We start from the raw sequence: 16193 nt of genomic DNA on the forward strand, positions 1-16193 counted from the left end.
ACACACGTCGTCCCTCGTTTTTGTCATGGCGTTAATCTCCAAGTGGCTTTGGTTCTTCCCCAGGCACAGAATGAAGCGACCCAGGTCATCACTGTCCTGGAGCTGCCCCTGCCTACTTTGACTTTTCTTCTTGGCCTGTATCTATGTCTGACACACACCAGTTAGTTTACGTGTAGGTCCATATGTTTATTGCGGCACTATTCACAATAGCAAAGACTTGGAACCAACCCAAATGTCCATCAATAACAGAGTAGATTAAGAAAATGTGGCATATATACACCACGGAATACTATGCAGCCATAAAAAAGATGAATTCATGTCCATTGCAGGGACATGGATTAAACTGGAAACCATCTTTCTCAGCAAACTATCACAAGGACAGAAAACCAAACACCGCATGTTCTCACTCATAAGTGGGAACTGAACAATGAGAACACTTGGACACAGGGCGGGGAACATCACACACCAGGGCCAGTAGGGGAGGTGGGGGAGTGGGGGAGGGAAAGCATTAGGAGAAATACCTAATGTAAATGACGAGTTTATGGGTGCAGCAAGCCAACATGGCACATGTATACCTATGTAACAAACCTGCACGTTGTGCACCTGTACCCTAGAACTTAAAGTATACAAAAAAAATTTACCTGTAGATCAAGCCAGGGATGTGAACTCTGGGCCGGTCCTGCACTGAGCGACTCCTTGATCCTGGACCAGGTCTCCTCCCGCAGGCGCCTGGCCCCGCCCCTCCCCTCAGTCGCCGGGCCCCGCCCCTCCCCGCAGGCGCCTGGCCCTGCCCGGCCCGGTCCCGCCCACATCAGAAAGCTCAGAGCAGGCTGCGGGCAGTTCCCGGGTTAGTCAGCAGGGGGCGCGTGAGGCGGCCTGGCCTGGCGGCTCCAGCTGAAATCAGCACAGCAGGAGGGAGGGTGACAGTGCCCTCCTATGCAGGTCAAACTACTAACAAATGATGTGGCTGGAGAATACTTGACAGCACGATGACTAAACACGTCAGTATAAAATGAGATCATGAAGCATGCTGTGCCCAGCTCTGCGGTTAGTTCACAGTATTTTACAAAGCGTCGTTTCCAAACGCTCAGGAAACACCAGCTACCTATAATAACGCGTGACACGCACCTTCTTCAACACTCAGCACAGCTCTGCAATAATGGCCCAGCCTGATCTTCACGTTGGAGGTGAGGACACAGGCCCTGGAGGATTCAAGTGGCAAGGTCACAGAAGTGGTCACAGGGGACCACAGCCCCCCCTGCCTGGACTGCCCTAGGCTCTGGATCTGTAACCCCTGGCTTGCTCCCCATTCGCCTGCCTGACCACAGCTCCGAGGCCTCTGAAAAGCCTGGCAAGGTGAGCGGAAGGTCCCTGTGGTGTCGCCCCCAGGGCAGGGATGGGCCATGGAGCTTAGTTGAGGGGGAGGAGCTGGTACCTGCTGGAGGAAGCGCAGCCCTGGAGAGGGTGCCTCTCTGCCCTCACCCCGGTGGTGTGGAGTTGGAGAGCCTTGACTGCGGGGGCTGGGGAAGGTGGGCAGGCCCAGGGCAGTGGGGGAGCCGCCTGCTCAGCAGGAGGGCCAGAGGGAGGAGTGAGCTGTGTGCAGGGATGGTGGGCAGCAGGCAGGGGCAGGCACAGGAAGTAGGGCGCTGAGCTGAGGTGGTCCAACTCAGGAGCTGGGGAGGAAGGGAGCATGGAGGGGAGATGGGGGAAACTGGGCAGGTGCAGAGAGGGAGGGCGGGGAACTGAGGAGAAGACAGAGCAGGGGAAGTGAGGGAAGGGGAAGAAAGCACAGGAGCAGAGGGAGACTGGAAAGGAAACCCGGATGGCTCTCAGGGCAGGGAAGAAGGAGGGGATGGGAGCTGAGGGACATGGAGCCAACTGAGATGACGTAGGGAGGGCGGGGATGGCTGGGAGGGATGGCCTTAGCAGGAGAGGGCAGGGGACTGCGGGAGGGTGGAGAGGTCAACAGAGGCTGAAGGAAAGGGGGAGGGGAGCATGTTGGAGGAGATGGAACTGGAGAGCGAAGAAGGGAAGGGCATGAATGAAGGGGAGGGAGGCGGGAGAGGTCAGGTGCATCCAAGGGAGGTGAGGAGAGGGGAAGGGAGGTAAACTGAGGCAGGGACATGGACAGAGGGGATGGGAAGTGAGTTTATCAGGGGAGTCAGAGTGAGGAGAGGAAGGGAAGGACTGGAATGGAGGGTGAAGATGGAGTGTGAGTGGAGGTGAAGTGGGGAAGGGGGAACCAGTAGGGGCTTTGCATGGGAGGGGACATGAGTGAGGGAGAGGAGGGAGGTACAAAGAACTGGGGAAAGGGAGTAAGATAGAGGCCACAGGGGCTCAGGAGGAAGGGGAGGTCCCAGAATGGAGGGAAGAATCTTGGAAGAGCTGCAGTGGGTCTGTGTGTGTGTGTGGCGGGGAGCAGGAGGGAACATGTGCCTGAGACTGTGCTGCTTCTTGAAGAGGTGACAGAGACAACACCCTTAACAGAGCATTTTTCCTCCCCATCAGCCCGGTCACCTGGTCACCCTATGACCCCACACCCTGCAGCTGCACTGAGCTTCACTGACCTTGGGTGGGGATGCCTCCTGAGGGCTCTTTCTGTTGTTCTCGCATCTCTCCAGCCACATATTAAAGTGACTCAGACCATTTTGACGACCCTCCATTCCATGTTGTAGGTGACACTGGTTATCCATGTCCAAATCTCTTCTTCCCCAGCCGTTTGGTGTTTGGTGGATTAGAACAGCCCATGTCTGAAACCCTAGTCAGGGAGTTCACTACTTTTGACATCACGAAGAAAAATGTTGCCAAAGACTGAAAAATAACCATACCCTGTTGCTGGATCTCTCTTGCCTCATCCCTTTACCTAATAAGCAGGAGTTGGTTACATCCTTAGTTCATAACCAAAGACACTTAGAGAGAAACACCGACTGTATTTGCACAAACTTTGAGAATCGATCCATAGAAAAACGCAGAGATCAAGATTTCTAACTCGTAGGGAAAAAACTTCTGTTTTTCTAGCAATGATAAGACATTTCAATTTTAAATTTTCTCCTGTGTACATATAATTAAAATTAATGTCATGTAGAAAGCACGCAGCACTGAATTTCTGGGACCGCTAAATCACATTTGGTGCCACTTGCCTTATATTTTCATGACAACATACACAGACACCTCCATTATCTGTAAACCCAACCGTTCACACATCTGAACAGGGAAGAAGCCTCCTTTACTCTAAGAAGCTCACCCCTAGCTCTCCATGCCTGGATGGCAGATGCTCGTGGGGCTGTTGTGTTTGGCTTCGAGGTCCATGGACTCCAAGGATGTTACAGATTTTTAGTCTCTGGTCTCCACTGTTGGTTATGCTATGAGATTTTACTATGGACCCAATGGACTGCTTCTCTAGGGGCACACTCCTCGGTGCTTTTGGAATCGCCCATGTCCCCAGAGAATCCATGTCTTGGGTATTTCCTATCCATGGTCCAGTCGTCCTGGAAGACTGCAGAGCCTCCTCACCATGGCCCCATGCGGGGATGCCAGGAGAGGGCACTTGCCTCCGTGCTCCAAATCCTGAAATCTACTTTTGCACTGATGCTTTTTCCCTTTCCAGCACTGTATCCCGTGTCTTTGACATCCCTATGGCAGCTGGGTGAGATGTGTCATCAGTCACAGGTGCACTGGGAATGATGCTGACTTGCCAGCTCTAGAGGGTCGTCAGAGGTGGATTCTGGGTCAACACCCTTTTCAGGTGGAAGGAATTGTTCTTCACTTTTCAAATCTTATTCAGGTATATCAGGATCTTTTTATTGTGAACTTTGACTTTTTCTTATTTTGAGTGGCTTAAAATATTACTATTTTAAAGAAACTATGGATAATTTTCACTTTCTTGCCCAAGATAAAGATAATTCTATGAAGCAATGAAAGATCCAACAGTGTTAATAATAGATACCAATAACAGTTAAGATACTGTGCTGTTCACTAAAAAAGATGGGCATGGAGGTCAAAGGAAATAGCATTTGTCTGGGAAACAAAGAATTGCAACTCAGGTACAGTGAGTCAGGGCAGCCCTGAAGAGTGTCCTGTAAGGCAAGCACAGGAAACATTTTTGAATCGAGGATTTCCACAAAAAGTTATTTTTAAAGGCAGTTGATTTGTTGGGCAGGAATCCTAAGTTGCAAACTCGTTCTGATTCGTCAGTTAACGAGGCTACTCCCAGCTGAAAGATGCTGAAGGCTGGTGGACACTGGCTTCAGTTGTTTATCCAAGTCTACTGGAACATTCTGTGGCTTGACCTTTAGCGGATGTGAGTGCCTCTCCTGCTTCCATTTTAGAAAGCCGGAGGCTTAGTTAATTCATTTTTTTCACAGTATAAATATGCAAAGTTTAAAGAGTTGATGGAGCCATATATGAAAGACATTTATTATTAAGCATGAAATTTATAATATTTTAATCATTAAATTGTATATGTTCACATAATCAGAAGTAAAATATCTAACGATTAAAATTCCCAACAGATTAAAAGTGCCCAACAGATACCAGGATATCAGATAGCTCAGCCTTAATTTTCATCTGTATCTTCAGCTGTAACATAGATCAAAAGGGCTAAGAAATGAAAAAAGTTGGTGTCATGTTTGCTCTCCTCCTGCTATGTCTTCTCATGCATGTTCTAAACAGTAAAAGCACTAGAATGTTTTAAAGAAGGGCAAAGATACAGAAAAAAATCAATATCCTATAATAGGTAATGAGCACAGCATGTTTAACAGACAATTCTGTAACTTACATTAAACACATCAGCTAAGCAGTTACTATGAAATTCCAATACACGGATAAAGAATATGAACAAGGAAAGGACTGGGTGACTTCCCAAACATCTCCAGTAAACACATAGGAGGAATCCAGAGACGCACTACATCCAATCCAGTCACTGTGCTAGGTGGCTACGTTCTATTTGGCACATGTTTATAAATGTGCTGTCTCAACATTATACTAAAATTATTTTAATTTGTAGAATGATGGGATATTTTTGACATCTTGCCTATGAACATTCAAGTATTGGTCCCACAAATATTTTTAGTACTCATCTTGCCATTATACACAATCGATGAGATCCATGCTTAGCCACACAGCACGAATGGAGTAGTATGTACCTTCCCTAGCCTTGATTTCATTCTATGTATAAAAAAAGATGATTTATTACATGCCATGATGCTTCCCAATAATAGTAGTGAAAATTTATGAACAATTTACTCATTATCTTAACACTGCATGTGAGGTAATAAATGACCAGCTTCAATAGTTAAGTGGATGTAACATGTACAAAAATGAGTATCTTATCACACTGAATATTTAGCTTAAAATTTAGAAAATAGTCATAAGTGACTATACTGTAGTTATCACTACAGAGAATCTAAACTCCTTTTGAGGTGTAACATTTGTTTTCCTTTCATAATACTTCAAATCAATGAACCTAAAACATGTTACTATGCCTGGAGTTCCAGAACACTTCAGCTCCCAGTGATCGTCAATAGTATCTACACACTAAGCTCTTTAAAAACTGAGTTCCGACTCTATCACAAGAGGGGGTCTGCAGGCTCAGCCTGGGGAGAGTCTGTGAATGAAGGATGTTTTTGCTACACCCATAGCACATAGGAGCGCCTTCTAGGTGTTCAGGATTGTCCTAACAGTTGGAAACAGCGCCGTGTGGGGCTTGGAAACTATGAGCTGCGCCTCTGGGCCTGGGATCCTGACGTCTAAATGAAGTTGAACTGGAAGGCTGCTAGATCCTCTTCTAGCTATGCCTCCTTATGCAGCTGTTGTGAAAATGGGATGGCTTCATGGGCGTAAAACACTTTGCACAGTAGTTAGTGCCCAACAGATATCAGGAGCCACTATTATCATTATTATCCCAAACCATCTTCAGCCACCCAGGGTGAGTGAAGGTTCACACCAGGGCTGTCCAGGAACGTGCAGGGTGGTCATTGGTTAGAGAATATCAGGAACTGGTTAGATCCAGGGCTGGGGTAAGAGAGGGAGGAACAGATGGCTGCATTTGTTTTCTGCTGCTATGTAACCAATTGCCACACAAGCAGCAGCTTCAGAAACCTTCCTGGAGGCCCTCCGCACAGCGGCACCGCGGCACAGCGGCACAGCACAGGAGGAGGCCTCTTCAGGGCCTGCAGGAGACTGTCTGCCTTGCATCACGCTGACCCCCTCTGCTTCTGACCTCCAGCCCACTTTTTTTTTCTTTTTTCTTTTCTTTTATTTTTTTTGAGACAGGGTCTTGCTCTGTTGCCCGGGCTGGAGTGCAGTGGTGCAATCACAGCTCACTGCAGCCTCAACCTCCCTGAGCTCAGGTGATTCTCCCACGTCAGCCTCCCATGTAGCTGGGACTATAGGCGTGCAACCACCACTCCCGTCTAATTTTTGTATTTTTTGTAGAGATGGGGTCAAGTGATCCTGGGCACAAGTGAACCTCCTGCCTTGGCCTCTCAAAGTGCTAAGATTACAGGCGTGAGCCACCACACCCAGCCTCCAGCCCTTCTTTGAAAGGGCTCACCTGATTAGGCCAGGCCTCTCCAGGAAAATCTCCTTTTTGATGACCTTACAGTAGACTGATTAGGGGTTGTAATTACATCTTCAAACCCCACTAACTGCAACGTAAAGTCATGTAACTTGGGGAGTGAGATCCCAAAGTATTCAGAGGTCCAGGCCACCCTGGCAAAGTGGATTCTATATACAGGGCTGTTCCCCAGGGGGCAGAATCTTGAGGGCCAGTTTAAGATTCTCCCTCCCACTCAGCCTGAGGTGCTAAGGTGCAGGTAAGAACAGCTCAGCTGAGACAGAAAGCACAGGAGGGAAGAGACAAGATCCAGGCAGGCCCCGAGTTCAGGGCAGGGCTGGGCTGTGTGCCCACAGGGCCTGTGAGAACCTCACAAGGAAGTGGGGCCACAGATGGGCACCCCAGCTCTTCACCCCACTTCCTCCCTGCGTTGGCCATGTGGCCATGGGATCCTCTAGACTATGAACCTCTTCTCTGAAAACATGACTAAGGTGCCACAAAATCAGGCTCCTAGAGGCGCCCGGCAGTGACTGATTTGCTGAGCTTCCCCTCCTCCCTTTTTCTCCCTCATGCCTCCATGTCTTGCTTCCCCCGGCCCCCACTTCCCCCAGCTGTTTAGTTGATCTTTTCCTGGCCCGACCTCGACACCCCTTATCTCATGGCCCTGTCACGCCCATGTCCCTTGTCACCTCACTTCCGTGCCTTATTTCCTCTGAACGGGGTTTGTCCCTTGAACGGTGGCCCATGGCCCCCACCCCCTCACTGTTTCCTTGTCCCTACCCCCCAAAACGTTGGACTCAGTTCTGGGGGGACTAGATCCCCTGCTCCTCACCCAGACTCACCAGGGCCCTTTGACCTCTCCACGTCTCTCTTCCCAGCCCCCTCTTTAGTCAAGGCCTACCCGAGACCTCTGGACGCGGCCCTGGCCCTGCGCTCAGCGTCTCCCAGGGTCCCTGCTCCCAAGTCCCCGCTCCCCCGCAGCCTGGACGCCTCCCCAGGCTCTGCCATCGCTCGGCGGCCTCGCTGCCCCAAGTCTTCGTGGCTCAGCACTCTCTGCACCCCGCAACCCCAGCCTTCCACCACTTCTCCGAGCGCGTACCCGCCTCCCCGCCTGCCAGACTGAGGAACGCCGAGCCTGCAGGTGGGAAACAGAACCGGATGCGCGCCTTAACAGTTGTCCGTTTAGCAGGAGGTTTTGAGCTCCCGCGAGCTTCTTCCTAAATTCCAGCCACGCGAAATTTCCTGCCGGGCGGCTTGTTCCCAGTTCCCGCTGCCCGGGCCCCTGCCTCCTCCCGCTCAGGGCTCCGCGTGGAGAGAGGGTCGTTCCGCACTCGCCCCAGGGGCCGGCGGGCGGCTGGGGATTCCAGCCGCTTCACCCCGCTCCAGGCAGCTAAAAGCCACTGTGGGGGGAGGTGGGGGATGAAACCTCCAGGAGCAGGAAGGAGCAGGAGGGGCCCACCCGGCTGCACGGGGTAGAACCTGACACTCCGTACACCAGCGAGTGGAAACACGACTTAGGAAACTGACAGACAACATTTTCAAGGTTGAAATAAGAGGAAAAATAGAGTAGATCTGGGATATCAGGGAGGAAAGCGGAGGGAAACGGTCCAAGGGCAAGGGTCAGGGCAGAGGCTGCAACGGGAAACTCTGACGCCCAGGAGGGCAGGAACATATAGGAAGGGAGACTGATATGTGTGAGGAATATGACCTCGAAGGAACCGGTCACCAGCAGCCCCCATGCTACCTGAAAACACCGTTCCTGGAACTCCGCACCGCGCTCACTAAGACCCTGCTCCCTCCATGGCAGGGTCCTCCCAGGAGCACACCGGTCTGCCGCTCACCTGGACTCAGGCCCCAGGGAGGACCTTCCCTGCCCTCCACAGCCCGGCCCTTGCTCCTGCTGGGAAATCATCTCTGACTGGCAGAGTTCCTGCTCTGCAGTGAAACTACAGGGATTTGAATCCTATGCTGAGAACCAAGCATAGGCCTCAGGTTCAGGGCAGGCTCCTGAGGAAGAATGAGGTGGGTCTCCAAGGGCTGCCGGGGTAGAGCACCCTGACCCTGAGGACGCCAGTGTCCCTCACAGGACAGGAGGGAGCCCTGACCCCAAGGACACCAGCGTCCCTCACAGGACAGAAGGGAGTCCTGCTTCGGATCCCCAGGCAGTGGGAGCTCATGTTGCTGGTTTGCATGGCCAGGCTCAGAGCAGAGTGAAGGAAGATTCCACAGCTGGCTGACCTTTATTTTCATAATAATCCAATCAATGAAAGCTCTACCAGCACAATGTCAGTCTTGCATGGAAAAGGCAAGGGCCAGTTATTTTTCCTGCTATGCTCTCAAACGCTAGCTTCGTGCTCAGAACAGAGTTGTTGCTTGGTAAAAATTTAATCTAGTGATTTATTTTTTTAAGATAGCCACAGTGTTCTGGGTGTTGGAGATCTAGCAGCCAGAAAGGCAGGACATTGCAATGGGAAGATGATGCTCTGGTCGGTGACAAGCCAGATGTAGAGACATTAACAAGCTTCCTTCAGGTAGTCCTTCGTGCTGTGAAAGAACCAGTGTGACTGAGGGCTGAGAGGAGGGGTGTGGCCAGGCTGTCCTGGACACATGTTCAAAAAATAAATCATCGTTATTCACGATAACAAAGACAGGGAACCAACCTAGCTGCCCTTCAATGGTGAACTGGCTACGGAAAATGTGTACATATACACCATGGAATACCATACAGTCATAAAAAGAACGAGATCACGTGCTTTGCAGCAACATGGATGCAGCTGCAGTCCATTATCCTAAGTGAATTAACGCAGGAACAGAAAACCAAATACCGCATGTTCTCACTTACAAGTGGGAGGTAAATGTTGAGTACACATGGGCATAAAGATGGGAACAATAGACACTGGGGAATTCAAGAGGGGGAAGGAAGAGAAGAAGCGGGGAAGGGTTAAAAAACTAAACATTGGGTACCATGCACACTCGTTACTTGAATGACTATATCAATCGTACCCCAAACCTCAGCATCACACGATATGCCCATGTAACAAACCTGCACATGGACCCCCTGAATCGAAAAGAAAAGTTGAAATTATTAAAGATAAATGAATAAATCAATCAGTGCTGACAGACTCACCCACTAGGCCCAGGGGACCATTGTTCTCCAGGATGGCATCTCTGGGCTGGGCCTCACAGGGCCCACTGTTCCTGGGTGGCATCCACAGTAATGTCCTCAAAGGTTACTGATACCTAAAACATCTGAAACATTCTGGGCCAGCCAGGACCTTCCCTTCCAAGGGTCAGGGGAGGACAATTGACTTCCCAGCACCAAGGAAAGGTCTATGTGTAGAGGGGCTCAAACCATGCTGGGATTCCAGGTGGATGTCTCTGTGCCCATCTGGCATGTGCCTCACATCCACTCAGAGATATGTGCGCACGCTGAGCACACAACCACCTTATCATAAATGGATATCACATGAGCTCTGGTGTGAGGTCACCTGGACAGTTCCCAGTAAGATGGTAATTCAGACTACCAGATGGCGATGGTAAGTTTTGGGAATACATATCTAAACTCCCCTCCTTAACAATTTAAAGTCAATCTACACACTCATCCCAAGGCAAGCCATCTCCACAACCTGTGGCCTATCAGCTGTGACTCTGGGTGAACTATTCCCTCATAAGAACCTCAGGTTCCTCCTCCGTGAAATGGTTCAACAACCTGTTGGGAGAGTTGAGAGATCCAATGGACTAATGCGTGAGGGGCCTGCTGGAGAGCGAAGCTGAACAAATCCATGTGAACAGTCCCTTATGGAGTGACACAGAGCGATGAAGCAACGCCCAGCGCTCCACAGGCCTGGGCTGGCAGGTGCAGCTTCCCTCATCCCACACAATCCTGTGTGTGCGGGGCTAAGGACAGAGTTCAGAGCAGAAGCCCAGGCTGCACTGCAGGGCGGCTCATGCAGACCCCTCCTGCAATGGGGCCTCCGTTCTCAGTGTCCTGTGGGACCTCGAAGCATCAGTCACCATTGCTGCTCTTGCGTCTTTGTCCTGTGTATCTGCTAATGGGTGAGATAGAAGCCTCACTACCAAATCTGGTCTCTCCAGTCCTTCAAAATTGCCACAGAACGCTACATTTTGCTCCATCTACTACACTCCTTCTCCTCTAGAAACGTCAAAATTAAGGAAATAAAGCTCTCCATACATCATTTTCAGTTTTCAAATTTGATCAAAGGATAATTACCAAGAAAGAATTGAGTTTGAAGGGCAAGGATTGTAAGGAGAGTTTTATTTACCTTTTGAAATGATCAGACTGTTAGTTCTATCCTATCAACATTTTTGTAGGTTTAACACTGGGGAGCATACGTCAGTGATTCCTCCTAGCCCTCTCTCACCCAACCCGCTCTTCTGCTGTCCCTGAAGGCTGCCCTGCCCTCCTCCACGCATCTGGAGTGCAGGCTGACAGGACTCCCCTGAGGACACACCTGCCGCCAACTGCAAGGTGAGCGTTTCACACAGCCCCAATTCCCGTGGTCACTTCATGCTCAGGCCCATGATAGCCACTGATATGGGCGATCCCTTGCTGGGGCTGTGGGCTAGATGAGAAAAAGAAACCTCTCCCATCTCTTCTGAGAAGACACAGGCTTCATGGAAGTTGGAACTCATAGAGGGAAAGGTTGGAAAGGAGATGATCTCCCAATCAGCCCCTGAGCTGCCACAGCCTCCCAGAGTCCTGGAGAAACAACTGGCACTAAGACTTCTTGGACACATTTAGAAGATCCAGGATGAGGAACAATGTGCCCATCTGCTGGCTAAAGAGGTACCATTCAGGAGAAGAGGCAGGTCCTTACTCACTGCAGGTGGGCTGTGGAGAACTCAACCACCACCTGCGTTCATCCAGATTCTCCCCCTGGGATAGTCCATAATGATGCAGGCAAAGTGGAGCAGAGACAAAGAAGCCACAGGACAACAGTGCTTCTCTCTGCTCTGCTCCCAGGCTCACCTGCCATGAATCCTGCCCCTGCCCCCTCTTGTGGTCTCCCTGGTCAACCTGCATGCACTGCAGGGAGGTCCAAGCTCTTGCAAGTGGAAAGGCTTTGGCTATGGCTCCCATCAGGAAGACGTTTATGTCTCCATGTGATCGGCAGTAAAATGGAAATATAGGGTTTTATTATTAATTAGCCCTAGTGTTCAGGAGTGCCATTTAATTCCCCCCACCGAGGGCAATTCCCAGGAGAACCTGACTCATCTCGCATGAGGATTCTTGTCTCCCTATCAAAAGACGCCATCTGAAATCCCCGATGTAGTTATTTTGGGTTAGCTGCACTAGTGTCGGTTCTCCAACATCCGCCCCAGCACTTTCCTGCCCCCGCCCTCTGCATGCACCCACCTCAGTCATCTTGACCCCTCCACCTGAGGGATCAGGGAGCATCAGCTCTTCAGCTCCCCCTCTGTCCCCCATGCCCTTGGACGTGTGGCCGCGCTATGTTGGAATCTATTCAGTGGCAGGGGAGACAATTTAATGACTCACCCCACATTGGAGGTGTTGGGAGCAAGCCCTCCCAAAATCTGGCCATAAATTGGCCCCAAAACTGGCCATAAACAAAATCTCTGCAGCACTGTAACATGTTCATAATGGCCCTGATGCCCACACTGGAAGGTTGTGGGTTTACGGGAATGAGGGCAAGGAACACCTGGCCTGACCAGGGTGGGAAAACCGCTTAAAGGCATTCTTAAGCCACAAACAATAGCCTGAGCGATCTGTGCCTTAAGGACATGCTCCTGCTGCAGTTAACTAGCCCAATCTATTCCTTTAATTCGGCCCATCCCTTCATTTCTCATAAGGGATACTTTTAGTTAATTTAATGTCTATAGAGAATGCTAATGACTGGTTTGCTGTTAATAAATACATGGGTAAATCTCTGTTCAGGGCTCTCGGCTCTGAAGGCTGTGAGACCCCTGATTTCCCACTTCACACCTCTATGTTTCTGTGTGTGTGTCTCTAATTCCTCTAGCGCCACTGGGTTAGGGTCTCCCCGACCGAGCTGGTCCCAGCAGGAGGGTTCAGCGATTCTCATCACACAAACTTAGCACTAAAAACCCCAACACATAATGTGTCATAATGCTTCTGCTCTGTCCACAATCCCCACTGGGCAGACAGGCTCACTGAGTGCAGATGAAGGAGTTGAATTTAGTTGACTTTTTGGGATTTTTTGTTGAAAGGGCAGCTGGAGCTCTGTCCTAGTAAGGAGCAGCAAGAACATCCTAGCATCTCATAATGTATGTATATGAAGGCATCTGTGAGCCCGACAGCACCCCCTAAATGGGGGTTCAGAATTAAATGCACTGCATGGACACACATTGATCATGTGTTGTTGAACGTCAGTGGGACTACAACCCTTGGACCCTGAGGTTCCTAAAAAAGGAAAAATCTAGTTGCAGCAATTGGGATGCTGTGACCTAAACCAAGGTGTCAATTCTTTTCTTCTGCCTGATCAAATGCAGTGGTGAGCCTTCCAATGAATTTTGATTGCATTATTGTACTTTTCAACTTCTGAATTTCTTTTTATAATTCCTGTCTCTTTGTTAATATTCTCTATTTGGTGAGATACTGTTTTTGTCCTCACCGTAGTTCTTTAGAACATGGTTTCTTGTAGCTCTTTGGACATACTTAAAAGAGCTGATTTTAGGCCAGGCATGGTGGTTCATGCCTGTAATCCTAGCACTTTGGGAGGCCAAGGCAGGCAGAATGCCAGAGCTTAGGAGTTCGAGATCATCCTGGGCAACATGGTGAAACCCCGTCTTTACTAAAATACAAAAAAATTAGCTGGGCATGGTGGTGGGCACCTGTAGTTCCGGCCACTTGGGAGGCTGAGGCATGAGAATTGCTTGAACTTGGGAGGTAGAGGTTGCAGTGAGCCGAGAGTGTGCCACAGCACTCCAGCCTGAGTGACAGAGTGAGACTGTCTCAAAAAATAAGCTGATTTTAAACCTTTGCTTAGTGATTCCAAATGTCTGGCTTTCTCAGAGGCAGTTTCTATTGATCGCTTCTTTCTCCTGTGTGAGGGCCATTCTCTCTTTTCTTTGGCATTCCTCCTACATTTTTGTTGAACAGTGGACATTTTGCATATTATAACATGGAAACTCAAAATTCTCTGCTCTCCCGGGGGTTTGTTGTTGTGCTTATTGTAGTTGTTTGTTTAGTATATTTTCTGAACTAATTTTAAAGTTTATATTCTTTGAAGTCTCTGTTCCATTAGTTTAGTGGTCAGCTAACAGCTAGACAGATATTTCCTTAAATACTGGGATTCAAAAAAATCTAATCTTGGCCAGGCGCAGTGGCTTTTGTCTGTAATGCCAGCACTTTGGGAGGCTGAGGCGGGTGGATCACTTGAGGTCAGGAGTTCATGACCAGCTGGGCAACATGGTGAAACCCTGTCTCTACAAAAAATTCAAAAATTAGCTGAGTATGGTGGCACACAACTGTATTCCCAGCTGCTGAGGTGGGAGAATCACTTGAGCCCAAGAGTTTGAGGCTGCAGTGAGCTATAATCATGTTACTGTACTCCAGCCTCGGTGACAGAGCGAGACTCTTCTAAAAAAATAAATAAATAAAATAAAATAAAATAAAAATCTAATCTTTGCAGAGGGAGTCTTTGCATTTTGAGGTCATTCCTTCAATGCTCAGCCAGGTGGTTTCCAACCTGGCCTTAACCATCACTTCCTGCCTGTGTTGAACCTCATGATCAGCCAAGGGTGAGCTTAGAGCTGTCTGAGCTCTTCTCTGAGGGTGCACAGAGCCCTGGGCATGTGTGCGGCCTTCAAGATTCCCAGGAATTTGTAACAATTTTCCAAAGCCCTTGTTGCCTAAAACATCTTATTCCCAGATTTTTCTCCCAGTAGGTTTTGGTTAACCTATTGTTTGCCCCAGCAATCGTCCATTCTGTTTGGCAGTTGAGCCTGGAACATTTGCTGTACATGTTGTCAACAATTGCCCTGAGGTGGGTGCTTCAGTTTGGGGTGAGTTCCAAGGTGGATGAGAGAATGGCAATCCTTTGGAGCCAGCCTTCTGGGAAGCAATCTGACAGATCAAAATGAGCAGTTCCAACTCTCTGAGAATATCTTCATTTCTGATCTCTGCAGTACCGCACTGGGAACAGCAGCTGTGAGTTTTCAAGGGAAGCAGGAGATGGAACCAGGATAAGCTAAAGACCCCAGAGCAAGCTTTTCTTATTGGTGTCATCAGTTTTTCTTGGATATGTGCTCTACTGGTTGCTGCAAACTTTTTATTAGTTTCCAGAGCTCTATAAAGAGTGATTTTGACCATTTTTTGCCAGTGGTTTCACTGTTTTGGTGGAAGGCAGGCCTTTGGAATTCCTAACTCAGAACTTTCCCATGGATGGTTTTAAATAAATTAGTTTTCAGATCTTTAACTTCTACATGGGCTGTTTCCAAAACATGACCTTCCTAAGAACTAGCATGAGATCAAAGAGTCCCTGTTTAGAATAGCCCTTCTCCCACATCACAAAAGGTTCCTTTTCAACAACCTTGCATCTTACTATAGACCGTAGATCCATATCTCCAGGGATGAACAAGGGGATAATTTAAAATACTGAAGTAGGTATTTCGGGTGAGACTGTCTTTAATTCCTGGGTATCAAATCCCACTACAAGTCATGTAACTTTCAATTCTTTTAAACAAGTTGAAGGTGGAACGAATCCAGTTGTCAGCAGATGGGTTATTTACTATAATTTTTATTATATATAACTGTGCTTTTTGGTCTATAACTTTGAAGGAGTTCAAATAATTGTGTAAAGACTCTTTCCATTCCTATCTACTTATTTATGTAAGCAAGGTTTCTCAAGGCTTCCAACTGAACAAGTGAAAAAATAGGTGTATGACTGATGTTGAACTCTGTCACATTCTGGCAGGTAACTGTTCATTCACAGATTCATGGCAAAGCTGGGACAGAAGTCCATCTGTCTCATTAAGAGAAACATTCCAACAATTTTTAATTTTTAATTTTTATATTTGCTAATCATTTACCAAAATTTATGGTGTAGCCATGTTTTATTTGGTTTTTGTATTATATTATTTTGAAGAATAATTCTAATGAAAACTGAATCCATCTTAAGTGATAACAAAGCCTTTGGTAACGTCATCACTTGCAGTTACTTAGATGGCAGATTATGCGCCTGCTGAACTTGTGACTATAAGGGAAGAGTTTGATAAACAATGTAAGTAGTGTGTGTTCTATATTGATAAGTGCATTTGGCAAGTAATTGGAGAAAGATGAGTTCAATAATTTTCCCAGTATGGAAGTAGAACTAAAAAGGAAATCAAGAGAATCCTGAAACATCAGACTTTGTGAGGTGGAAAAACCTTGCTGCTTCTGGACCCCAAGTAGTAAGAGGGTATTTTAGAAGTCCGATCTACCAAGGCTTAGTCTTGAGAATTATGTCCAAGAAAGGCCTTTGGGATGTGGTAATTGGCTCATGGAACTGACTGGAAACACAGGGATGTGAATTAACCAAGATTTGGGGTGGCTTGCAAAACAGCTATGAGCCTGGTCTAAATGCAGAGCAGGATCTAAAATGCTCGGACCCATAGGCAAGTCTTGGTACCATCTTTGTAAGGAAGTAGGCTGCTA

At 48.3% G+C, this 16193-nt stretch overlaps 1 long non-coding RNA gene across 1 annotated transcript, besides 4 other annotated features; it reads left to right on the forward strand.

The window, feature by feature from the left end:
• Nucleotides 691-770: a silencer, noted in NCBI's record as "silent region_8320". NCBI's record gives its function as "represses an Ori minimal core promoter by ATAC-STARR-seq in GM12878 lymphoblastoid cells {active_cell/tissue: GM12878}" and the evidence as "EXISTENCE:reporter gene assay evidence [ECO:0000049][PMID:35858748]".
• Nucleotides 851-2648, forward strand: LOC124903951 (uncharacterized). The gene is made up of 2 exons (XR_007065664.1): nt 851-1356; nt 2509-2648. It is a non-coding gene; the product is annotated as an uncharacterized LOC124903951 (long non-coding RNA).
• Nucleotides 7295-7848: an enhancer, noted in NCBI's record as "H3K27ac-H3K4me1 hESC enhancer chr17:21366951-21367504 (GRCh37/hg19 assembly coordinates)". NCBI's record gives its function as "activates a minimal SCP1, AML or CMV promoter by ChIP-STARR-seq in naive H9 embryonic stem cells {active_cell/tissue: H9 hESC(naive)}" and the evidence as "EXISTENCE:reporter gene assay evidence [ECO:0000049][PMID:30033119]".
• Nucleotides 7849-8402: an enhancer, noted in NCBI's record as "H3K27ac-H3K4me1 hESC enhancer chr17:21367505-21368058 (GRCh37/hg19 assembly coordinates)". NCBI's record gives its function as "activates a minimal SCP1, AML or CMV promoter by ChIP-STARR-seq in primed H9 embryonic stem cells {active_cell/tissue: H9 hESC(primed)}" and the evidence as "EXISTENCE:reporter gene assay evidence [ECO:0000049][PMID:30033119]".
• Nucleotides 8403-8956: an enhancer, noted in NCBI's record as "H3K4me1 hESC enhancer chr17:21368059-21368612 (GRCh37/hg19 assembly coordinates)". NCBI's record gives its function as "activates a minimal SCP1, AML or CMV promoter by ChIP-STARR-seq in primed H9 embryonic stem cells {active_cell/tissue: H9 hESC(primed)}" and the evidence as "EXISTENCE:reporter gene assay evidence [ECO:0000049][PMID:30033119]".

The sequence above is a fragment of the Homo sapiens genome, chromosome 17 (assembly GCF_000001405.40).
Source record: "Homo sapiens chromosome 17, GRCh38.p14 Primary Assembly".
NCBI lineage: Eukaryota > Metazoa > Chordata > Mammalia > Primates > Hominidae > Homo > Homo sapiens.